The 25994-nt window shown below is 38.0% G+C and overlaps 1 protein-coding gene across 5 annotated transcripts in view; it reads left to right on the top strand.

Moving 5' to 3' along the window:
- Nucleotides 1-25994, top strand: part of FCHSD2 (FCH and double SH3 domains 2) — a 305574-nt gene that overhangs the window by 244433 nt on the left and 35147 nt on the right. For all 5 annotated transcript variants that reach the window (NM_014824.3, XM_011545409.2, XM_011545410.3 and 2 more), the window contains 2 exons: nt 7941-8057; nt 10312-10416. In NM_014824.3, coding sequence (NP_055639.2) covers nt 7941-8057; nt 10312-10416 — 222 coding nt within the window. The remainder of the gene's footprint in view (nt 1-7940; nt 8058-10311; nt 10417-25994) is intronic.

Raw genomic sequence — 25994 nt, 5'->3', positions numbered from 1 at the left:
TTTTGCTGAAATGACTTTTTAATGCAGAATTTTTCTGAGGAGGATATGGAATGTGCCTTTAAATCTTCCTGTCTATAATAAGAATATTCTGTGAGAGAGAACTGACAAACACATTTATTAGGATCTCAATGTTAGAGTCATTCAGCTGACACATGGATCACACTGGGGTTAGTGATTCATACAGGTGGTGTACAATGGAGAAAACATGGGTTTGGGTGTCTAAACTAGCAGTTTATTTACATATATTTAACTTTTGTGATTCAGCTTCCTCATGTGTAAAATGACAACAGTTGTCCCTTGGTTTCCATGGGGGATTGATTCTAGGAACCTCTTTGTGTACCAAAATTCACAGATGTTCAAGTCCCCTATATAAAATGATGTAATATTTGCATATAACCTGTGCACATCCTTCATATATTGTAAATCATCACTAGATTATAATCCCTAATACAATGTAAATGCTATGCTAATAATGGTCCTATTACATTGTTTAGGAAATAAGACAAAGAAAAAAAGTCTGTACATGTTCAGTACAGACACAACTATCCTTTTTTTTTTTTTTTTTTACTCTTTTTAAAAAATATTTTTGATCCACGGTTGGTTGAATCCACAGATACAGAACCCACAGATATGGAAGGACAACTATACCTTATTTGTTTGAAAATTAAATAGGATACTAAGCATTTAACTCAATGCCTGGCACATTGAGTCAGAATAGATGTTAACTGACTTCTTAAAATCTTTCCACAGGACGGCCGGGCGTGGTGGCTCACGCCTGTAATCCCAGCACTTTGGGAGGCTGAGAGCTGAGATGGGCGGATCATGAGGTCAGGAGATTGAGACCATCCTGGCTAACATGGTGAAACCCTGTCTCTACTAAAAATACAAAAAATTAGCCGGGCGTGGTGGCGGGCACCTGTAGTCCCAGCTACTCGGGAGGCTGAGGCAGGAGAATGGCGTGAACCTGGGAGGCGGGGCTTGCAGTGAGCCGAGATCGCGCCACTGCACTCCACCCTGGGTGGCAGGGTGAGACTCTGTCTCAAACAAAACAAAACAAAACAAAACAAAAATCCACAAGGCAAGCATATTTCTTTCTTTTTTTTTTTTTTTTTTTTTTTTTTAGTATTTTCCCCCTAATTGCTACAGGAAATACCAAATATCAAATATAGAAGACATTACAAATCTTGAAATACTTGCAATACTTTTGCAGTCATGATCCCTAGCTCTCAACTCCCTTATTGGATTGATCACTAAAAGTCCCTTGGGACTTTTGTTCTACTTATTCCACAAAGAGGATCTCATCAACGGCCTTCTTGGCAGTTTGTACATCTGAAAGGCAATCTGTTTGGAATAATTTTAAGTACATGACTTGTACTTTTCAACATCTCTGCCCTATGTACATCTCAGTGACCTATCCTTTCATTACCAGAACTAGTGATGAGTGCCATTAGGGGCATTTTCTCACATCCTGTGAAAAAGGACAAAGCGAAGCTGGGATGGGAAATAATATGGGAAACATGCATGTCCACAAAACTTAGATAAGTATGATCTATACAGGCAGGAAAAACACGGAAACTTCCTCAGGTTTCCCAGTCGGAATGAGAATACACTTTCCCCTTTACCTTCTTTGAACAGCAAATAACAAGATCTTCACAGATCATGACAGCAAAAAGCTGACACTAAATTTCTGATGTATGATCTTTCCCTGTTATTCTAGATGCTATTTCTGATATTTAATTCTGCCTTCTATAGATTAAAAATTATAGTAAGTAAAATGTCCACTTGCTGTAGTTGAGGATTTTTACACATTAAAGTTTTACATAAGGGGAGTGATTTATGCATCTATTAAAAAAATATTTGGCAAAAATTTCCCTTGTCTATAAAAGTCTACATGGGGTTAATATACTGTGCAGGAAATGTACCTGAAAATTCTCTTTGTTATGGGTGGCTCTTTCTGCTTGTAGAAATTTTGTATTGCATATAGCGTTGTCTCATAAATGTGAAAAAGGCTGTGATAGAATTTGTGGGATGTCCTCCTGTTGAGTAAATAGGTACCATCCTCTTACACATGCTTGGCACAGTATCCAAAAATGAGAGGCTTTGACTAAAGACATGAGTGTTGCGTTTTAGAATTAGCAATACTGACAGTTAAGTGTTCGTAGTGGTTGTCCTAATTTCTTCAGCGTTTCACAAAAGGCTTTTTGTAAAAAGTCCACTATCTATGTGATAGGCCCTCTACTGGTTTAGTCACCTTTCTCCTGATCTGGTTCCTTGTCTAACCATCCAGAGTAACTAGATCTTTGCATAGACGCATTAGTTATGTGCTGACAATAGGAGCCTGAAAGTTCCCCTATCTAGCTTGTGATTATAGCTCTTAAAGCAAGATCTCTGTGAGAGCTACCAAAATAAAGGCATACTCTTTATAAGGCTGTTCCATCTAACCATGCCTCTAGGTATGTTCTCAAAAGTGTTAGACGCAAGGTTTTTATGCCATTTTTGTTTTACTTTCATGTCATTACTCAGGGACATATTTTTTGCTAAGGTTTGCCTTTGGTACTCTTAATCCAAGACAAAAGAATAGCTCCTTTCAGAGTTCTCATCATTTCTTCACCCCAGCCTTAATGGGTATATTCCTTTTCCCCAGGTGTCCAGAGTTTTCCAGAATTGTCCCAAGGCTCAGTCCACACCAGTTCTTCTCCAGTGTGCTCTCCTGAGAGGCCAGGCACACTCAACAATTATCTAGATGAGTTCCCACTTCTTTCCAAGTGAAGGTTCTGCTATCCTAGCATAGTCAGAATAAGTTAAATTATGTCTCTTAAGAGGCACTGTTCCACTCCTCTTCAAGGTGTGTGGCATATTTGAAATATGTGACTTAAAAGTCTACAGTCTCTTACCAAAAGCCTTGGGCCAAATACATGTCAAAATTCAGAATTTTCCAGATTTTAGAAAAGTGACCCATATACCATACATTGCATAAAACCCTGAGCAATGTATGGGGAAGCACCTGTGACCAAACATAGTATTTTTGCAGTGAAACATATGAATATTTTCATTCATATATGTATATATGAAAGAAAAAACTATAAATAACCTCTTATTAGTTCAAATCACATTTTGGCTCAAGTGAGTTTTGGCTCCAAACTTACCAAAAAATACTTATTCTTTTTCAGAGCATTTTGAATTTCAGAATTGTGGGATTGTGAACCTGTACAAACGTGTAGTTGGAATACAGAGATCCAGATGCTTTTTACTTGAAGAAGTCCTTTTGAGGATAAATAATTAATAACTTTATTGAAATAATTAACCATATATTAATATACTTCATAAAGAATAAGATGGATCCAATATTTAACTCAATATATTAATATATATTTTTTGAGAAGCTCTGTCACCCAGGCTGGAGGGCACAATCATAGCTCCTGGCAGCCTTGATCTCTTGGGCTCAAACAATCCTCCTGCCTCAGCCTCCCATAGATAGGACTACAGGTATGTGCTAATTTTTTTTAAGAGCTGGGGTCTAGCTATGTTGCCCAGGCTGGTCTCAAACTCCTGGCCTCAAGCAGTTTTTCTGCCTTGGCCTACCAGAACACTGGGATTGTAAGTGTGAGCTACTGTGCCCAGCCCCAGTATATTTCTTGTCTCTCAGTAAACTGAAAAATGTAAGTAGTACAAATTCCCTGAATGAGGGTTAACTAGAATGTTATGCCATTGGCCTAACAACCCCAACACTATCTTTTTTTGAAATGGTTTGGAATGCTAGTATTTTACTGTTAGTGATTTTCATTCATCATACATGACCATCTCTTTTTCTCTCCTTGAAATGGTTATATTTTAGTTACAGAGTTAAAAAACTGATTGTTTTCTTCTGCGAAGTCAGCTTTTCTATCGCTGCTCACTCTGCTCAGATATCTGAGCCTTCTATGCCTTTGTATTAACCTTAAAATAAAACAAAATCATATCTTGAGAGAGCATCTAAGGACAAAATAGTTAAGATGACTTAAAGACTAATATATCAAGAATATTGGAATGCTGATTTCCTTAATTTAGTTCTTCAAAGTTATTTAATAACTTTATGAATGTTGAAAAGACTTTATTGTAATATTTTATTCTAAAGGGACTAGAGTTTTTTTTTTTTTTGGAGACAGAGTCTCCCTCTGTAGCCTAGGCTGGAGTGCAGTGCCACGATCTTGGCTCACTGCAACCTCCGGCGCCACCACGCCTAGCTAATTTTTGTATCAAATACATTTTTAAAAGATAAAGGAAAAATATTGGGCTGGGCATAGTGGCTCATGCCTCTAATCCCAGCACTTTGGGAGGTCAAGGCAGGAGGATCATTTGAGGCCAGGAGTTTGAGATGGCCTAGGCAACATAGTGAGATCTCATCTCTACTAAAAATCAAAAAAATTATCTGCGTGTGATGGCATATGCTGTGGTCTCAGCTACTTGGGATGCTGAGGTGGGAGGATTGCTTGAGCTTGGGAGGTCAAGGCTGCAGTGAGCCATGATTGCACCACCGCACTCCAGCCTGGGCAATAGAGTGAGAACCTGTCTTCCAAAAAGAAAAATGTTAAAAGAATGATCTAGGCCAGGCGTGGAGGCTCATGCTTGTAATCCCAGCACTTTGGGAGGCCAAGAACAGGTGGATCACTTGAGGACAGGAGTTCGAGACCAGCCTGGCCAACATAGCAAAACCCCCATCTCTACTAAAAATACAAAAAGTTAACTGGGCATGGTGGTACATGCCCTGTAATCCCAGTTACTCCGGAGGCTGAGGAATGAGAATCTCTTGAACCCGAGAGGCAGAGGTTGCAGTGAGCTAAAATCATGCCACTGCACTCCAGTCTGGGTGACAGAGTGAAACTCTGTCTCAAAAAATTAAAAATAAAAATAAATTTGCCAGCATTTTAAAAAGAAGCAGTCATTACGGTTTCTTTGTTAGAATCGACCACTGCTAATATCACTGTCTTAAAAAAAAAATTACCAGCCACGCACGGTGGCTCACACCTGTAATCCAAGCACTTTGGGAGGCCGAGGCGGGTGGATCACGAGGTCAAGAGATCGAGACCATCCTGGCCAACATGGTGAAACCCCGTCTCTACTAAAAATACAAAAAATTAGTTGGGCATGGTGGCACATGCCTGTAGTCCCAGCTACCTGGGAGGCTGAGGCAGGAGGATCACTTGAACCCAGGAGGTGGAGGTTGCACTGAGCTGAGATCATGCCACTGCACTCCAGCCTGGCCAACAGAGTGAGACTCTGTCTCAAAAAACAAAAAACAAAACAAACAAAAACACAAAAACATAATTATCTATACTAGATCCTGATTTATATTGATCTTTGATAGTGAAGGTGGTATTGGAACATTTCTCTGTGTATTGTTTAATAGCCTGGGCTGTATTCACCTTGTATGAAATTCTCAGTTGTCAAGACCTGTGTCTCAGGAGCTTCCACATGTATTCCATGGCTTGATTTCAGAATTCATGAAAAGGATAAATTAATTTGAGTTTTAGTTTTGTGTCATTCCCTACCCAAAGGATCTCAAAGCCACATCTTCCAATCAGTGGCATTAGTTACCTGTCCTGATCATTGGACTCCCAAGTCTTAGTAGACACATAAAAAATAAGGGAAAAGCTCTATCCTGAGCACAGTGAATACTCAATAAGAAGGTATAAATTCTGTAAGGCAAATTGGGTTATGGCCCATCTGCAGCCAGCACACAATTTAAACCCCTTTACCTATTCCTAAAATGCTGCTCAGTAACAAAAATTAAATGTCTCTATCAGTTGCCTCCTTTCTCATCTAGCTACTCCCTACAAATTCATTCTCTTTGAGATCTGCCTTAATCTTTCAATATATCTTCAATCTTCATTTTGGATTCATTGTTTAGGCTATTAAGAACCTAGGAATTATCTGGATTTTCTTATGAACAGTAATAAGAAAATTTTTGTTTCAAGTAATTTTCAATTGGGTCTTTAACATTAACAGTTACCATTACTGGATGCCTAAGATATTATGTAGATCCTATACCAGAATGTTTAAAATATGACCTCATTATAACCTACCAACCCTATGGAGATAGGTGACATTTTCACTAGTTTTCAGATGTAGCTACGACTCAGATAATTAACATGCCCAAGATCATAAAGCTAGTAGTGCCATAAAATGGCATACAATGGATTCAAACTAAGTCTATCTGACTCAAAAACCTATTCTTGGACTCTTCAGAATTTATCTTTCTACTTTTACAGATCACATTCCTCTGACTTTTGTATATTTCATTTGTATCTGTGTCCAGAGTTTAACACTTTAATATTCCTGACTTTGAGAACAGATGTAAGTTTGAATGCCCAGATTCATTTGCAAAGCAAAATATAATAGTAAAGTTCATTCCCAAACTTCTGATAACCCCAAAAATGAATTAGAATGTAAAATATGAATGTAAAGATGGTTAAGTTTGAATATTGATTATTTTGCTCTATTTCAATTTATTTGTCATTGTTATAATCTAGCTGAAATGTCTGTATAGAACAAAAATTTTTAAACCCTGCCTCATCACAATTCCCCCAACAAAAATATTAATTTTTAAAATCCAGTTTATCAATTTCTACTTACTCTATCAATTTTGAGCTATGAGACCTTGCAAAAGAATTACTAGGCCAGGTGTACTGGCTCATCCCTCTAATTTGAACACTTTGGAAGACCAGGGTGGGAGGATTACTTGAGCCAAGGAGTTCAAGATGTTGAACTCCTATGTTGCCTGGGCAACATAGTGAGACCTTATCTCTAGAAGGAAAAAAAAAAATGAGCTGAGTATGGTGACACACACCTGTAGTTCCAGCTACTCAGGAGGCTGAAGTGGGAGAGTCACTTGAGCCCGGAGGTTGAGGCTGCAGTGAGCCGTGATCAGAATTTCTAAAATTCTTTTCATTCTACAATTTTGCTGCTTTCTATATTAAAAGCCTCTTTGGGTAATTTATATTTTAAAAAAAATTCCTAATTATCTCAATAAAGTTTGTTTTTCTTGGGTCTTTAAGAATTTAGAGAGAATTAAAATAGTTTTGTGTTTAATAGCTCTGATTCTGGAATCGGTCAATTAAGGTTGTAACATTTAACATCTAGGACATCCAGGAAAAATTAACCTCTCTGAGCCTCTGTTTTCTTTTCTATAAAATGATGTGGGACCCACATCATCAGGTTGTTAAAAAAAAAAAAAGTTATATGAAGCACTTTCCATAGTACCTTGCACAATAGAAGTTAGCTATTACTATTTTTATTTAGATTTTGTGGTTTGTTCTTTGTAAATCAGAATCATAGCATTTTAGAGCTAGAAGAAACCCTTGGTGATCATTTGATCTAGCACCCTTATCTTTCATATGAAGCCTGGAGAAAGAGCAAAAGCTGGCTTTTGAGGTTTGGTGGCAAGTTGATGGTGGACCTCTAAAGAGTTCCGTCTGCCTTGGGGCAGGGGGAGGGGTGCAAGATTGTGTTGCTGTTATTATATTGTTTTGTTCTTACTTCTCTTTAATGATTCTTTACTCACATTTAAACTATTAAGTTGTTTCCATTTTTATTTATGCAATGATTTTATCACCATAGTAGGTTGGCATGAATACATTTTCTTCTTTGCTTACCTTAGCTAGCTTCCTTCCCACTCGGAAAGATAAGTCCATCACACCCAAAAAGATAAGTCTGCAGTATTATAGATGATGCTTTTGTGTTCAGCAGTGTAAGACAAAAAGCTTATGGTCTTTAATGGTTTTATGCTGATCTTACTCTTCTGGTAACTTTCTGTGACGTTAAGACATTGCTTCCAGCAGTAGTGGAGCGTGCCTCATGTTTTGAGTGCTGATTAAGTGAAGGCCTTCTGATCCATCTACAAAGCAGTAGTGGTTACAATAAGGATAGCAATATTTTTATCTCTGTTCTCTCTTGTATTGTAGAGCCGACAGTTAGAATCAGAAACTGGGACCACAGAGGAGCACAGTCTAAATAAGGAAGCTCGAAAATGGGCCACACGTGTGGCACGTGAGCATAAAAACATTGTTCACCAACAACGGGTAAGTGTAAGAGAAAGTCCTAGTTACATTCACCTTAAGCCAAATGTCAAACAGTTTAAGGAACTGAGTTTTATTAATGTGAAAAATATCCTATATGTGTTGTTTTGTTTTATTTGAGACAAGAGGCTTGCTCTGTCACCCAGGTTGAAGGGCAGTGGTGTGAACATGGCTTACTGCAGCTTCAACCTCCTGGGCTGAAGCAGTTCTCCCACTTCAGCCTCCCAAGTAGCTGGGACCACAGGCACATGCCACTATGCCTGGCTAAATTTTTTTAGATTTTTTGTAGAGATAGGGTCTTGCCATGTTTCCCAGGCTGGTCTCAAACTCCTTTGCTCAAGCATTATATGTGTTTTTTCTGTACTTTCTCAACACTCAGCAGTGTGCTGTCAGCTATCTACTCATGTTGGAATTTCCTTAAGCCCTCCATCAGCAATACATTAATTTACCTGTTTACCATAAAATTAACAAAGAAAATTGTGATAGTGTATTATGGGCAGGGGAAGAGACATATGTTGAATTAATATAAGTTTTCATCCCTCAAGACATATTTTTTAAAAGACATAATTATAGCCGGGCGCGGTGGCTCACGCCTGTAATCCCAGCACTTTGGGAGGCCGAGGTGGGTGGATCACAAGGTCAGGAGATCGAGACCATCCTGGCTAACATGTGTTACGGTGAAACCCCATCTCTACTAAAAATACAAAAAATTAGCCGAGTGTGGTGGCGGGCACCTGTAGTCCCAGCTACTCGGGAGGTTGAGGCAGGAGAATGGCATGAACCTGGGAGGCGGAGCTTGCAGTGAGCTGAGATCACGCCACTGCACTCCAACCTGGGCGACAGCGAGACTCTGTCTCAATAAAAAGAAAAAAGAAAGACACAATTATAGATTTCATGAAAATATATGTTTGGCTGGGCGCAGTGGCTCACGCCTGTAATCCCAGAACTTTGGGAGGCTGAGGCAAGTGGATTGCTTGAACCAGGAGTTTGAGACCAGCCTGAGCAACATGGCAAAAAACCCGGTGTCTACAAAAAATTCAAAAATTAGTCGGGCATGGGGGCGCACACCTATCTTCCCACCTATTCGGGAGGCTAAGGTTGGGGAGAATTGCTTGAGCCCGGGAGGTGGAGGTTACATTGAGGTAAGATCATGCCTCTGAACTCCAGACTGGGTGACAGAGAAAGACCCTGTCTCCAAAAAAAAAAAAGAAAGAAAGAAAGAAAGAAAATATATCTCGAAGACTAAACTCTAAGCACAAAGAAATTATTTGGAGTATAGTACTTTTTTTCTGTTTCATTTATTGATACCTATATCCGTCTCATTCTTTGCCTTCACATCCTGCTTCTTAAAAGAATTGCCTATGCTTATTATCTATAGAATCTCACCTCCCACTTACTTTTTAGCCCATTACATTTGAGCTTTCCTGTCCTTTCCTTCCCCTGTCTAAGCTTACCAAAATCGCCAATGATGTCTGTGTTGCTAGCTTCCAAGTGGACACTTTGATTTCTCATTTTTCTTAATCTGTCAACAATTTCATCACAATTAACAATTCCATGTCTTAAAATGTTATCTTCTCTAGTCATCCACGATTCAACATTGTCCTGGCTTTCCTTCTGCCTTTCTGGCCATACCTAGATTTTTTCATGGGTTCCTCTTTCTCCATCCCACAATGAAATATTCAGTTTCTCAGATTCCTATACTTGGCTATCTTGTTTTCTTATTCTTTACCCTCATATAGGCATTCTCAGTCACTTCCATGGTTTTACTTTACCACCAAATCATAAATTAACATCTTCAACATTGGGCCTTGCTACTACTGTGTATCCATATAATCTCTTGCCTGTTTTGACATCTTCTTTTCACTATCTCACAGGTGTCTCAAATTCAGTGTTCCACTTATGTAATGTTGCTTAACAAACCACCTCAAACTTAATGCCATAGAACAAGAGGGTTTTTACATTATCTCTCACTAATCTGAGTATTGGATGGTCTCAGCTTAGCAGTTTCCCTTGGGGTCTCTCATGTGGCGGCAATCAGATAGTGGCTGGTCCTGGCTTCCCCACTGAAGGGACTGTCTGTAGTAAGTTTGTTACTAGTAAGTCTATAATTATTTCAAAATGTTCAAAAAATAAATAAATGAAAAAAAATTATGGCTACTAGTCACTAAAGCCCTTTGAATTATGTAAATACTTTAATCACTTAAGGAAGATGAAAAGTAAAAAACAGTCATCATTATTGTCCCATTTTCTTTAATAGGTTCTAAATGATCTGGAGTGTCATGGAGCTGCTGTATCAGAACAAAGCCGAGCAGAGCTAGAACAGAAAATAGATGAAGCTAGAGAAAATATTCGTAAAGCAGAGGTAAGGTGGCAGCTAATTGTGGCATTTTGCCCAGGTCTAATGACACTGTCACAGCTGTGATATACATCTTTAAAACTGAGTTTCTACACACACTGAGATGAAGGTGATTCACCGTCTTCATTCGTGTCCACAGTAGTATTTGTTGAGTACCTGCTCTGTGGAAGGCAGTACATATAACAAAAAGATGCTGTAAAGTTTACAGTCATGAAACATTAAATACAAAAGATTTAAGTCACAATGAAGATACTAATTTTAAAGTTTCTAAAAGGTACATAATAAACCACAGAGATTAATGGTAGAAAAAATGATGTATATATATCAATTTAGATATATATATATATCTCCTTATATATCAATATCTATGGAGACATATATTCATATATATATATATATTTTCAGAGCTTAGGAAATCTCCCCCATATGGAAGGTTCCCTGGATCCAGGGGCATGAGCTGGGCTTTTAAGAATAGGGAAGATTTGGCTAAGCAGAGATGGGAAAAAATTTATAATAGTGGATTTTAATTTTTTGTGGAGTCATGGGACCTTTGAGGGTTGTATGAAAGCTGTGAAACATTCTCTCCCACACACAAAAATGTACATTTTGTGTAGTGTTTAGAGTTCTTATGCCTGAGGCTAATACTCCCTGCTCTAGATAGGGAGAGGTTGGGATAGGAAACAAGAAAGTATTAGCAAAGGAGGAAGACACAGAGTATAATTTGGTAGCTGGATATGATTAGAGTGGAGGATTTTTGTGAGGAAATGTGGTAGAAAGTAAGTAAACTTGTTGTGGTTAGGGCCAGTTTATGGAGGACCTGTGCACACACTTTTATCTACTCAGCAGCAATGTGGTGAAGGGGTATGGAGGTAGACATTTATAAAAGACTGACACCATCCAGCCATTAAAAGATTAGGTTCTTGTTAGAAAGGCATAAAGAATGCCAAAAATCACTAAGATGGTAAAGCATAACTGCCGAGGAGTGGTGCATTAAGTATAGTTGAAGAACCCAGAGGCCACAGAAATCACTCTGGGAGGGATTGTTGCGGGTGTAACACAGAAGAAGACTTAAGATGAATGCTGGCAGATGAATAGTATTTGATTAGTCAGAGAAAAGGGGATAGCACAGACTTATGCCATGCAACTTCAGGAGGTAGAATTTGAACCAAAAGATGAAGGTAGGAAAGAAGGAGATGTGAGTTTAGTATTGGGAAATACTTTCTAATAGTCAGATCTTCCCAAAGACAGAATAAGCACTCCTGAGACATAGTGCAGCCCTATAAGTATGTAAGAAGATTCTGGGCAAGCATCTTTCAGGGACCCAATACAAGGAATCCCTGCACTGGTTTAGGTTTAAACTAAACTAATGGTTTTCTAACACCCCCTTAGAACTCCAGAGGTTTTGAGGAAGTGCTTCACTGGTTGTGGGGTGAAGGGAGAGGCAGCGTAGGCAAGCATAGAGAATATGAGCATGTTTTTGGTACAGCCCCATGGAAGTGATCTGAATCAGAACAGGCTTGCCATCTGCCTGGGCTGGAGAAACCCCAGTAACCCCACCTCCACTTCATTCCTGTTCACAGTCTAATTGACAGCCACCATAGTGAGGAGGGCAGGGTGTACAATGAATAGTCATTTTTCTCTTTGAATTCAGGGTCATGTCTAAACCACTATCTTAGGGTGCTGGCCAAGTAGTGTTGGCAAGCCCTCATCTACTCTAAGAAACACTGGCCTGTGGTAGAAGAGTTATTCCTGTTGTTTGTTTCTCCGCACTCTAGATGAAGCCAGTTTTTCAGAGCCTTGGTGGAACAGGAGTAATTATTTTAAGACAAGTCTCAGAGGTTTTCTGAGGGGTATTTCATGTATTTTCCATTTCCAGACCCCATGCATGGTATCACCGACTGGTACCCTAACTCCACGAAACCTCCCGCCATCCCCAGTAGTAGCAGTAGTAGGTATCAGGCACACAGAGTCTTCATTTAGGCCAGATGACCTATTATTTCCATAGTATGCCAAACTAGACTGTGTTTGTTAGTTTCAAACTAAAAATATGAAGTGAAATTCTCATACCACGATGTCTCACCTCTTCTAATGCAAGTATTTAAGTCTACATTCTCAAAAATAGTTTTCTTATCAAAAATGTTGAATATAGTATGCTAAAACCATTGTAGCAGATCCGTTTTCTCAGTTTTGAATATCTGTAGCATTTAATTAATTTTACTGTTAGCATAAAATAATCTCACTTGGTTTCCACTTAACAGATACAAAAAATAGCCTAAGTAAAATTAGCCAGCAAATATGAGGGCATATTTATTGGGGTAGTACTTACAGGATTATCATAATAAAATTTTTGGATGGACTAGACCATGAGAGTCTTCAAAGGAATTAACAATAATGGTTTCTGCACATACCCTTTTCCTTTCTTCTGCCTGTATATCATTTGCAGTGGTTTTTCGTTTTTATCGATACTTTATTTATTATAAATACCTATACAAAAGAGAGAACACTGGTTATATAAAATGTGAGTCCTCATTATTGCAAAGTTAATGACAAGAGTGACCCTGCTATTAAAACAAAATTTTTAGGCCAGGTGCAGTGGTTCATGCCTCTAATTCTATCACTTTGGAAGACTGAGGTGGGAAGATCACTTGAGCTCAGGAGTTTGAGAGCAGCCTGGGCAACAGATGAGACATCGTCTCTGTTACAAATGAAAATAAATTAGCTGGGTATGCTAACATGTGCCTGTAGTCTCAGCTACTTGGGAGGCAGAGGCTTGATCCTGGAAGGTTGGTCTGCAGTGAGCCATGGTTGGACCACTGTACTCCAGCTTGGGCAACAGAGCAAGACTATATGTATGTGTGTGTATATATATGATCTTTTATATATATATATATGATCTTTTATATATATCATCATATATATAAACTATATATATGATCTTATATATAAACTATGTATGATTATATATATGATATATATAACATACACACAGATATATATATATTTCTAATCACATTATTTCCAAATTTATATTACCTCTGGGCCTGTTACTGTGAGGTTTCACTGTATTCATGCTATGTTAGCAGACCTCTTGACTAATCACTTTTATTTTTTTACTGAAAATTTTCAAACATACAGAAAATATGAAGAATAAACATGTATTTCCTAACATCTAGATTCAACTATTATATTTTGCAATACTGGCTTTATGTGTTTGTTAGATTGACCCATTAACTGTGTTGTATAAAATGGAAGTTAGGTCTTAAGGCCTGATTAGAGGCAGGTTAGTGTTTTAGGCAGAAATAGTTCGTAGATGATGTGATGTTTTTCATCACATAAAGAATCATAATATCAAGTTGTCCTGCTATTAATGATACTAAGAGTGGTCTCTTAATAAGGTGGTGTGCTACCAGATCTTTCCATGATAAAGATTCTTTCCTCTTTGCAATTACCAAGTGCTAGTCACCTCCAGTGGTGGTGAATGGGTATTTTTTTTTCTTGGGTATTATTATGACCTCATTAAAAAAAATTTTTTTTTTTTTTTTTTGAGACACGGTCTCACTCTGTCACCCAGGCTGGAGTGCAGTGGCACGATCTCAACTCACTGCCGCCCGAACCTCCTGGGCTCAAGCGATTCTCCCATGTCAGCCTCCCGAGTAGCTGGGAATACAGGCGCACTCCACCATGCCTGGCTAATTTTTCTATTTTTTTGTAGAGATGGGGTTTCACCATGTTGCCCAGGCTGGTCTCAAACTCGTGGGTCAAGCAATCTGCCTGCCTTGGCCGCCCAGAGTGCTGGGATTACAGGCGTGAGCCACTGCCTCCGACTTGTCAGTCTTTTTAAACTTAGCCATTTGAGTATGTGTGTAATGGTATCTCACTGTGGTTTTGAATTGCATTTGGCTACAGACTAGTGACATTAACTAACTATGCTGAGCATCTTTTTATAAGTTTTTAGCCCTTCATATATCCCCCTTAGTAAAGTATTTGTTAATATCTTTTGCCCAAATTTAGATTGGTCTTATTACTGAGTTATAACAATTTATGTTTTCTGGATACTAGTCATTTTTTAGGTACATGTACTGCAAATATTTTCTCCAGTCTTTGGCTTACCTTTTCATTTTCTAGATTGGAAACTTTTAATTTTGATGAGATTAATTTATGAATTTTGTCCTTTATGATTAGTGTTGTGTTCTAAGAAATTTTTGCCTGATCAAGGTTGTGATATGTCCTCTCATGTTTTCTTCTAGAAGTGTTATAGTTCAAGCTTTTCTTTGTGGACTGTGGTCCTAAACATTTCTAGTTAAATTGTTGAGGTCTGGTATGAGTTAAGGGTCATGTTTGGTTTTTTTGTTGTTGTTTTGTTTTGTTTTTTCCTATACAGATAGCCAGTTGTTCCACCATCATATTTTAAAGAGTATGCTTTTCCCATTACCTTTGCACCCGTATTGAAAACAACTAATCATATGTGTATGAATATTTTCAATTTTATTCAGTTCCATTGGTCTATATGTCTGTACTTATGCCAGTATCACAGTCTTAATGACATTGTAAGTCTTGAAATCAGATAGTATAATTCCTCCAACACTATTCTTGTTTTAGAATTATTTGGACTATTCTCATTGCCATCAGCTTCTACAAAAAAAGACTGCGGGCATTTTGATTGGGATTGCATTGAATCCACAAATAATTTGAGGAGAATTGACTTCTCAACAATATTGAGTCTTCTAATTCATGAACATGATGTGTCTCTCTATTTATTTAGGCACTCTGTTTCCTTTTTTGGCTTCTTAATTTTTTATTGATACAAAATAATTGTACATATTTATGAGATGCATGTGATATTTTGATACATGCATACAGTGTATAATGATCAAATTAGAGTAATTAAGATATCTATCACCTCAGACATTTATAATTTCTTTATATTTAGAACATTTCAAATCTTCTAGTTATTTTGAATTAATTATTAACTAGTCACCCTGCTAAGCTATCAAACACCAGAACTTATCCCATCTATCTAACTGTTTGCTTCTATTCCCCAATCTCTCTTCTTCTCCTTCCCCATAATCCTTCCCAGCTTCTGATAACCATCATTCTACTCTGTACTTTTTTTTTTTTGAGACGAAGTCTTGCTCTGTCACCCAGGCTGGAGTGCAGTGGCACACGCCACCACGCCCGGCTAATTTTTTTACTTGTAATAAAAGACAGGGTTTTACCATGTTGGCCAAGCTGGTCTCGAACTCCTGACCTCATGATCCACCCGCCTTGGCCTCCCAAAGTGCTGGGATTACAGGCATGAGCCACCATGCCCAGCCTCTGCTCTCTTTTTTTTTGAGACGGAGTCTTGCTGTCACCCAGGCTGGAGTGCAGTGGCGCGATTTCGGCTCACTGCAAGCTCCTCCTCCCGGCTTCATGCCATTCTCCCGCCTCAGCCTCCCAACTAGCCGGGACTACAGGCGCCCGCCACCACACCCAGCTAATTTTGTTTTTGTATTTTTAGTAGAGATGGGGTTTCACCGTGTTAGTCAGGATGGTCTCAATCTCCTGACCTCATGATTCGCCCCCCTCGGCCTCCCAAAGTGCTGGGATTACAGGCGTGAGCCACCGCACCCGGCCCCAGCCTCTACTCTCTACTTCTATAATTAACATTTTTTAGCTCCCACACATGAGTGAGAACATGTGATATTTGTCTTTCTGTGCCTAGCTTATTTCACTTAACATAATGACCTCCAGTTCCATTTATATTGCTGCAAATGACAGGATTTCATTCTTTTTTATGACTGAATAGTATTCCATTGTGTGTATATATCACATTTTCTTAATCCACTGATGGACACTTAGGTTGATTCCACATCTTGGCCACTGTGAATAGTGCTGTAATAAACAGGGGATGAAGGTATGACTTTGATACACTGATTTCCTTTCCTTTGGATAAATATCCAAAAGAGGGATTGCTGGATCATATAGTAGTTCTATTTTTAGTCTTTTGAGAAACCTCCATGCTGTTTTCCATAATAGCTGTACTAATTTACATTCCCACCAACAGTGTATAACAGTTCCCTTTTTTCTGCATCTTCACTAGCACTTGTTATTTTTTGTCTTTTTGATAAATAGTGATTCTAACTGGGGTAAGATGATATCTGATTTTGGTTTTGATATCTGGTTTTGATTTGCATTTTACTGATGATAAGTGATGTTGAGTATTTTTTCATATACCTGTTGGCCATTATGTCTTCTTTTGAGAAAAGTGGTTACACATCCATTGCCCAATTTTTAATAAGATTACATGGTATTTTGCTATTGAGTTGTTTGAGTTCCGTGTATATTCCGTATATTAGTCCCTTGTTGCATGAATAATTTGCAAGTATTTTCTTCCATTCTGTAGGTCATCTGTTAACTCTTTTGTTTCCTTTGCTGCATAGAGTTTTTAATTTAATGTAGTCCTATTTGTCTGTTTTTTGTTTTGTTGCCTGTGGCCTTAAAGCCTCAGCCATAAAAATCTCCCTTGACCAATGTCCAGAAGCATTTCCCCTATGTTTTCTTGTACTAGTTCTATAGTGTGGGTGTTTGTTTGTTGTTGTTGTTGTTGTTTTCTTTTTTTTTTTTTCGAGACAGGGTATCACTCTGTCACCCAGGCTGGAGTGCAGTGGCACAGTCACAGCTCACTGCAGCCTTGGCCTCCCCAGGCTCAGGTGATCCTCCCACCTGAGTTTTTGTATTTTTAGTAAGATGGGGTTTCGCTATGTTGCCCAGACTGGTCTCGAACTCCTGGGCTCAAGGGATCCACCCGCCTCAGCCTCCCAAAGTGCTAAGATTACAGGTGTGAGCCACTGTGCCCAGCCATAATATTGGGTTTATTTTTAAAGTCTTTAATCATTTTGAGCCGACTTTTATATATGGTGAGAGATAGGGATCTAGTTTCATTCTTTGGCAGGTGGATATTCAGTTTTCCCAGCAGCATTTATTGAAGAGGGTGTCCTTTCCCCAATGTAAATTCTTAGCACCTTTGTAAATTGGTTGGCTATAAGTACATTATTTCTGGGATGTCTGTTCTGTTCCATTGGTCTGTGTGTCTGTATTTGTGACAATACCATGCTGTTTTGGTTACTAAAGTCAGGTAGTGTATTACCTCCAGCTTTATTATTTTTGCTCAGAATTGCTTTGGCTATTCAGGGACTTTTGTGGTTCCATACAAATTTTAGGATTTTTTTTTCTATTTCTGTGAAGAATGTCATTGATTTTGATAGCAATTGCACATGGATTCGTTTTTGTCCTCTTCAATTTCTTTCATCAGTGTTTTGTAGTTTTCCTTGTAGAGATCTTTCACTTCCTTGGTTAAATTTATTCCTGGGGTTGGGGTTTTTTGTTTTTTTGTTTTTTGGGTGGTTTTTGTTTGTTTGTTTGTTTTTGTCTTGTTTTGGTTTGGTTTGGGTAGCTATTTTAAATAGGATTACTTTTTTTTTTTTTTTTTTTTTTGAGACAGAATTTCACTCTTGTTGCCCAGGCTGGAATGCGATGGCGCGATCTCGGCTCACGTCAAGCTCCGCCTCCTGGGTTCAACCGATTGTTCGGCCTCAGTCTCTCAAGTAGCTGGGATTACAGGCATGAGCCACTGAGCCTGGCCCATTATGCCTTGATATATGTTTTCTGTCCTCTTCTATGATTTCAATTACATGAATATTAAATCACTTGATATTATCCTACATGTCATATGCAAAGCTCATTCCACACATTTTTATCTGGCCTTATTTTTTATCTCAGTCTCAGTTTGATGAGTTATTATTAGTGTCTATTAAAACCTATGGATATTTCCTCTATAGTGTATAAACTACTGTTAAGGCCATCTTGTGAATTTTTATTTCAAATGTTATATTTTTAGCTCTATAAGTTCTATGTGGTTCTTCTTTTATCTTCTAGTTCATTCCTATTTATCTTCATGTTTTTCTTTAAACCTCTAAGTATATTTATAACAGCAATTTTAAAGTTCTTGTCTACTCATTCCATCATCTCTGTCATTTCATTCTTTTTATTGACTGATTTTTGTCTTGGCTCATGTTTTTCTGCTTTTCAAATACCTACTAAGTTTTTACTGAATCTAGACATAGTGACTGTTTGGTTATTAAGTTTCTAGATTCTATTTTCTTCTTATAAAGACTATTGAGTTTTGTTTTGGCTGCCAGGTCAGTTACTTGCAGATCAGTTTGATCATTTCGAAGCTTGCTTTTAAGCTTTGTTTGGGTTAATGTAGAGATAAATTAGAAATTAGCCCTATACTAATGCCGTGGGTATACACCAAGTTCTCTCAACTCTGGCTGGATAGAGTTGTAATATCTTTTTTTTTGTTTTTTTGTTTTGTTTTGTTTTTGAGACAAAGTCTCACTCTGTCGCACAGGCTTGAGTGCAGTGGTAATGATCTCTGCTCAGTGCAACCTCTGCCTCCTGGGTTCAAGCAGTTCCCCTGCCTCAGCTTCCCAAGTAGCTGGGATTACAGGTGCCCGCCACCAAAACCAGCTAATTTTTTTTGTATTTTTAGTAGAGACGGGGTTTCACCATGTTGGCCAGGCTGGTCTCGAACTCCTGACCTCAAGTGATCTGCCCGCCTCGGCCTCCCAAAGTGCTGGGATTACAAGCATGAGCCACCACAGAGTTTTAATGTCTTTCAACCCTGTACAAGCTCTAGGAATTTTTCAGTTCATAGCTCTACTGTAGATATTCTTTTCTTAGTAGTTATTGTTTGCCTCTCCTCCTGGAGTTCCACCTGACATCATTTCAACTTATTATAGATTTTTATCTATTTAGTATATTATCAATTCCAGTTGTCATTTTAAGTTCCATATTATCTAAAACTGGGAGTCCATTCAACTGACTTCTGTGTACTTTTGACATTACCCCCGTTAGTCCTTGAATACTTTCTTCCTAGTAAAACAAGCTATCACAGTGTTCACCTTATATTTTTCCTGCCCAGACTTAGAATTAGCTGTTTCTCCAAGAAGCTCTGATTCTCTTAATAGAAAATGGTATTTAGACACTAAGGCCTGGGCTGTGAAGGTGCTTATTGTTCTAAGTGTCATTTTCTTTTTTATCTTTTCTTTGTTGTTAGAGCTAGGGATAACTTTTTTTAAGTCATGAGTTCATGTTGATATTTCCAATTAACATGGACAATTAGAGGGATTTTACTTATTTTTAGAGACAGGGTCTCAATATATTTCCCAGGCTAGAATGCAGTGACTATTCACAGGCACAATCATAGTGTACTATAGCCTTGAACTCCTGGACTCAAATGATCCTCCTGCCTCAGCCTCCAAAATAGTTGTGACTACAACTGCATGCCACTATGCCCAGCCAGAGGGATTTTATTGAACTTATTTGATTTCTTTGATTTTACATTTATTTATGTTCTTTTTGCCTTACACCAAAAAGTTTTATTCCTAATCATATTATCTAATATTTTATTTGCTTTATATATTTAAAAAAATTTTTTTTGAGACAGTGTCTCTGTCACCCAGGCTGGAGTGCAGTGGCACTCATTGCAGCCTCCACCTCCCAGGTTTAAGCAATCCTCCCACCTCCATTTCCCGAATAGCTGGGGCTACAGACATGTGCCACCATACCCAGCTAATTTTTGCATTTTTTGTAGAGACAGGGTTTCCCCATGTTTCTCAGGCTGGTCTTGAGCTCCTGGGCTCAGGCAGTCTGCATGCCTCAGCCTCCAAAGTGTTGAGATTATAGACATGAGCCACTATGCCCAGCCTGCTTTGTATATTATAGAATAATAACTGCAGTATATATTAAGCACTTTCAGAACTACAACATAAATATTGCTATTAATAGTAAACTATTGAAAGTTTTAGATTTCTTTATAATTCTCTTTGAATGTAGAATAAATATATCTCTAAGAGACTTTCTGCTTCTTGTAATAGGTTACTAGCTTATATAAGACTATTTTAGATGACAATATTAATCTGGGGTAAAAATATTAAAACAAAAATTATTTAATAGAGCTGGAAAATGACCCAAAGCATGTAAAACCTGGAGAGGAATTTCTCCTTGAAAGAACAAGACTATACTTAGTGATATTTCCATTATATAGCCCTGCATCTGTAAGGAGCAGCACAACCAGAATTTAAGCAGAACCTCCATCTTACTGGCCTGAAGGTGGATGTCCTTTGGAACAGAGACTCTAAGGAGCTTGGCAGGAAACAATAACTGAAAGGCAAAAAAATCCAGGAGAAATTTTAGCTGTTGCTTATCACAGGAGAACAAACACTAATCATTAAAAAAACTGAAGTGGCAAAACCCCATCTCTACAAAAAATACAAAAATTAGCCGGGCATGGTGGTGCACGCCTGTAGTCCCAGCTACTCAGGAGGCTGAGGTGAGGTAGGAGGATGAGGCTGCACTGGAGGCAGCCTGGAGGTTGAGGCTGCACTGAGCCGTGATCGTACCACTGCACTGCAGCGTAGACAACAAAGTCCAGACCCTGTCTAAAAAAAAAAAAAATGAAGTGATCATATTACTGTTAGACAAAATACATTTTAGGACAAGGAATATTAAAAAGGATAATGCATAATGATTTTTTAAAGACATTTCATCATGAATATATTAAAATCCTGGACGTATATATAATAATAATGCTACAACATACATAAAGCAAAAACTGGCAGAACTGAAAGAAGAACTAGACAAATCTACAATTGTAGTAGGAGTCTTTAGGATCCCTCTTTCAGTAATTGATAGAACAAGAATATAGAAAATCAGTAAGGATATAGAAGATGAACAACATCATTAACCAACTTTACCTAATTGGCATTCATCGAACTCCACTGCATATGAGTAGAATATATGTTCTTTTAAAGTACACATAGAACATTCAACAAGACCATACACTGGACCATAAACCTGTTTCAATAAGTTTAAAAGGATTGATATTATACATAGTAAGTTCTTGATTAATTAGGCTTATATTAAAAATCCATAATAGAAAGATGGCTAGAAAATACCCAAATAATTGGAGATTATGTTGTTCAAACACAGTAATCTGTTGCTGCCTTTGAAAACCATCCCAAACTTTATGGCAAAAATAACAGTGGTTTATTATCTGTTGCCATTCTGGGTGCTGACTATGCATTTCCTTTTATTCTTTTATTTTCTTTTGAGACCATCTCACTCTGTCTCGCAGGCTGGACTGCAGTGGCACAACTCACTGCAGCCTCAACCTCGTGGCCTCAAGCAATCCTCCCACCTCAGCCTCCCGAATAGCTGGGACTACAGGCATGTACCACCAAACCCAGCTAATATTTTATTTTCCTTTTTTATAGAGATAGGGTCTTGCTATTTTGCCCAGGCTGCCTCAAACCTCGAATTCCTGGGCTCAGCAATCCTCCCACATCAGCCTTCCAAAATGTGGGGATCACAGGTGTCAGCCACTGTGCCAAGCCAACTAGTCATTTCTTTTGCTGGTTTTGCCTGAGGTTACTCAAGCAATTACTTTCAGCTAGAGGACTGGCCAGAGGGCTGGGCTCAGCTGTGATGGCTGGGTCTTTTCCCCATGTGGTCTTTCATCAGCATATAGGTTAAACTGGACTTCCCCAGCATGGTGGCAGCATATTTCAAGAAGTCAGATCCAAATAGCACTTACTGAGGGTCCTCTGTTTCCATTAAATTGGCAAATGCCCCACTAGCCAAAGCAAATCACATGGACAAGCCCAGAATCATGGTGGGAGTGGACTACATGGATACCAGGAAGCATGATTATTTGGGAACCTTTAATATAATGGTTTACCACAGTTGGTGTGACCTTGATTAAATCATTTTTCTCATCTATAAAATGGAGTTTTGGGGCTAGGGATGGTGGCTGACACCTCTAATTCCAGCATTTTGGGAGGCCAGGGCAGGAGGGCGGAAGGATCGTTTGAGGCCAGGAGTTTGATACCAACCAGGCAGCATAGCAAGACCCCATCTCTACAAAAAACTTTAACATTAGATGTGGTGGCATATGCTTCTGGTCCCAACTGCTCAGGAGAAATCCAAGGTTACAGTGAGCTATTATTGCACCACTGCACTCTAGCCTGGGCAGCAGAGCGAGACTCTGTCAAATAAATAATAGCTAGCTAGATAGATAGATAGAGTTTATAATATTGACCCCTAGAATTGTTTTGTGAATTAAATGAAATATATGATGATATAGTTCCTAGTACCTATGATAAAAGCTGTTTGGAGCTTTTTTTTAAGGTACCAAAGATGGAGTAGCAAATACTATTATCTACCATTATTGATTCTATTCTACAAGTAAACCACTGTCCTAAATAGTAATACATTACACACAGTCCTTGTCCTTAGAGAAGAGATATGTTAAAGGCAAATGAATTAGTCCAAATTAGATTTACAGACTTGAAATTCAACTATAGCTTTACACTTATATGTGTTTATGTTAAATGTTGTGTTAAAATCTAGGTAATTGACTGTGTTTATAAACCAAGATTATGTATCCTAAAAGATCTGGATTTTTAAAATACTATTTTTAAAAGCTCTGTCTCTTTAAAGCTTCCAAAAATGATTTGGTCAAGTAGTATCTGGAATGCCATCAAGTTTACAGAGAGCTATACTCTGAAAATTTTTAATAAGTTGGCAAATCATGAAAATTCATTTGAAAACACTAGAAAGTTCTGCTTTTAGACAATTTTTAACTTATAAGCAACTGAAATCCTAAAGGGAAGATAGCAGTGTTTAATTCTGGGACTGCAGTCTAAATCTGAGTTGGCAAATACCATGTTTATCTGTTGTTTGATAAAATACTGACAAAATCTTATAAAAACTGGATTACTTGAATAACTGCTTTGAGAAAATAGAATGTAGTGAATACTTCTCTCTTTTCTGCTTCAGCAATTAAATGACTTGCATATGTGATTTCTAAGAAAGAGCTTGTTGGTTCACTCTTTTAAAAAACAAAAATAAAAACATTTCATTGTTTTAAAATGAATACTAGAGGTCAGGCACAGTGGCTCGCACCTGTAATCCCAGCATTTTGGGAGGCTGAGGCAGGAGGATCACTTGAAGCCAGAAGTTCAAGACCAGCCTAGGCAACATAGTGAGACAGCTGTCTCTACAAAAAATTTTAAAAAATTAGCCAGGCATGGTGGCATGCACCTGTAGTCCTAGCTACTGGGAAGGCTACAGTAGGAGGATCACTTGAGCCCAGCAGTTCGAGGCTGCAGTGAGCTATTGTCATACCACCGCATTCCAGCTTGGGCAACAGTGAGACCCTGTCTCTTAAAAAAGCAAAAGCATACTACAATGGTGCTAGGGCAAGTGGATATCCATATGCAAAAGAATGAAGTTTGACCCTGTTAAAAGATAAACTTAGGCACATTAAATTTTTTTTTATTTGAGAAAATAGTGATAATTACTTGGGCAGCACCAGATCATATGCAGTTCAGGGTTCCACCAATGGAACACCAGAGGAATGCTTTTATAGGGTGAACTCAGAAGCAAAACAAAGCAAATATTTGATTGGTTAAAGTGGCACGGTAGTATCCTTTTTTGGATCATTCCAGTGGAAGGTTTCTAGTTAGAAGGTAGTTGGCAGTTTTTGATTGGTTAAGCTTCAGTTTTGTTTTACCATTTATACTGAGTTGAGTTTTGGTTTGCTTACGTAGGAACCCGGGATGCTGGAGCTGCCTCAGTTTAATGACCTTCCAGTTAATTATCTTAACAACCCCACTTTACATCATATATACAAACTAACTCAAAATGAATACCTAAATGTAACAGCGAAAGCTAATAAACTTACAAAAAAAACCACAGGGGTAAGTCTTTGTGGCCTTGGATTAGTTTCTTAGATATAACACCAAAGCCTAAGCAGCAAAAGAAAAACTAGATAAATTAGACATCATCAAAATTTAAAACTTTCATGTTTCAAATGACACTATCAAGAAAATGAAAGACAGCCCACAGAATGGGGGAAAATATTTGCAAATCATGTATCTGATAGAAACTTACTTCTAGAATATATTAAAACTCATAATAATAAAAAGGCAAAAATACTCAACTTAAAAATGGGAAAAGGGTCTGAATAGACATTTCTCCAAAGAAGATGTATGAATGACCCATAAATAAGCACATGAAAAGATTCATTTTTTTTTTTTTTTGAAACAGAGTCTCACACCATTGCCTGGGCTGGAGTGCAGTGGCGCGATCTCGGTTCACTGCAGCCTCCACCTCCCAGGTTCAAGCGATTCTCCTGCCTCAGCCTCCTGAGTAGCTGGGATTACAGGCACCCGCCACCGTGTCCGGCTAATTTTTTGTATTTTTAGTAGAGATGGGGTTTCACTGTGTTGGCCAGGCTGGTCTCAAACTCCTGACCTGGTGATCTGCCCGCCTCAGCCTCCCGAAGTGCTGGGATTATAGGCATGAGCCACCGTGCCTGGCCTAAGATTTGTAACATTAATAGTTATCCAGGAAAATGCAAACAACAGTAAGATACCACTTTATATCCACTAGCATGGCTAGAGTCAAAAGACAGACATTAACAAGCATTTGCCAGGATGTGGAGAAACCCTCATCACCCTACTGGTGGGATCAAATGATAAAGCCACGTTGAAAAACAGTCTAGTATTTCCCCAGATGGTTAAACTTAGCATTACTTCATGATCCAGCAATGCCAGCCCTACATATAAACCCAAAAGAAGTGAAAACATGTCCACACTAAAATTTATACACACACGTTTATAGCAATATTATTCATAATAGCCAAGAAATAGAAACAACCTAAATGACTCCCAACTGACAAATGGATAAACATTCTAATGTATATCCATACAATAGAATGTTATTTGGCCATTAAAAAAATGAAATACTGATACATGTTACAACATAGATGAATCTTGAAAATATTATGCAAAGTGAGAGAAGTTAGTCATAAAAGACCATGTATTATATTGTTTCATATGTGTTAAATGTCTGGAATAGGCAAATCTTTATAGACAGAAAGTAGAATAGTGATTGTCAAGACTGCAGGGAATAGGGGGCTGGAGAACAATAGGTAAATGGTACATGGTTTCTTTTGGAGGTGATAAAATATTCTAAATTTGACTGTGGTGATGGTTGCATGTACTATGAATATACTGTAAGCCACTGAATTTCAGACTTGAAATGAGTGAATTGTGTGGTTCTAAAAAAAAAAAAAAAAAAGAAAAGAAAAAAAAAGTTGTGTGCCAAAAGGTCTTTGTCACCTGAGCTATATGTCAATAAAGTTTTACCAAAAAAAGAAATTATGAAAAGAATAAGCAGATTTTTGCAAGAGTATTTACCAATTGGAGTGCCTCTAAGCCAAAAATTCCAATTGTCTTATATAAAGACGTATATGATACCCCAAACCATTGTATTGTATACTTTAAAATGGTGCAGATAGTAAATTTTATGTAATGTTTTACCTCAATTTTTATAAAAATCTATTTGCTTAAAAACGTTAATATAAAAAAAATTAATTCAGCAAAGAAAGCCCAGTGATACAAGTCAGAACATAAATTGTTTTTGATATCAACTCCCCAAGCAGAGAATTCGGAGGGAAATCAAAATTATGTACC

This window comes from Homo sapiens, chromosome 11 (assembly GCF_000001405.40).
Source record: "Homo sapiens chromosome 11, GRCh38.p14 Primary Assembly".
Taxonomy (NCBI): domain Eukaryota; kingdom Metazoa; phylum Chordata; class Mammalia; order Primates; family Hominidae; genus Homo; species Homo sapiens.
This window is presented reverse-complemented; position numbering and strand designations above follow the sequence as displayed.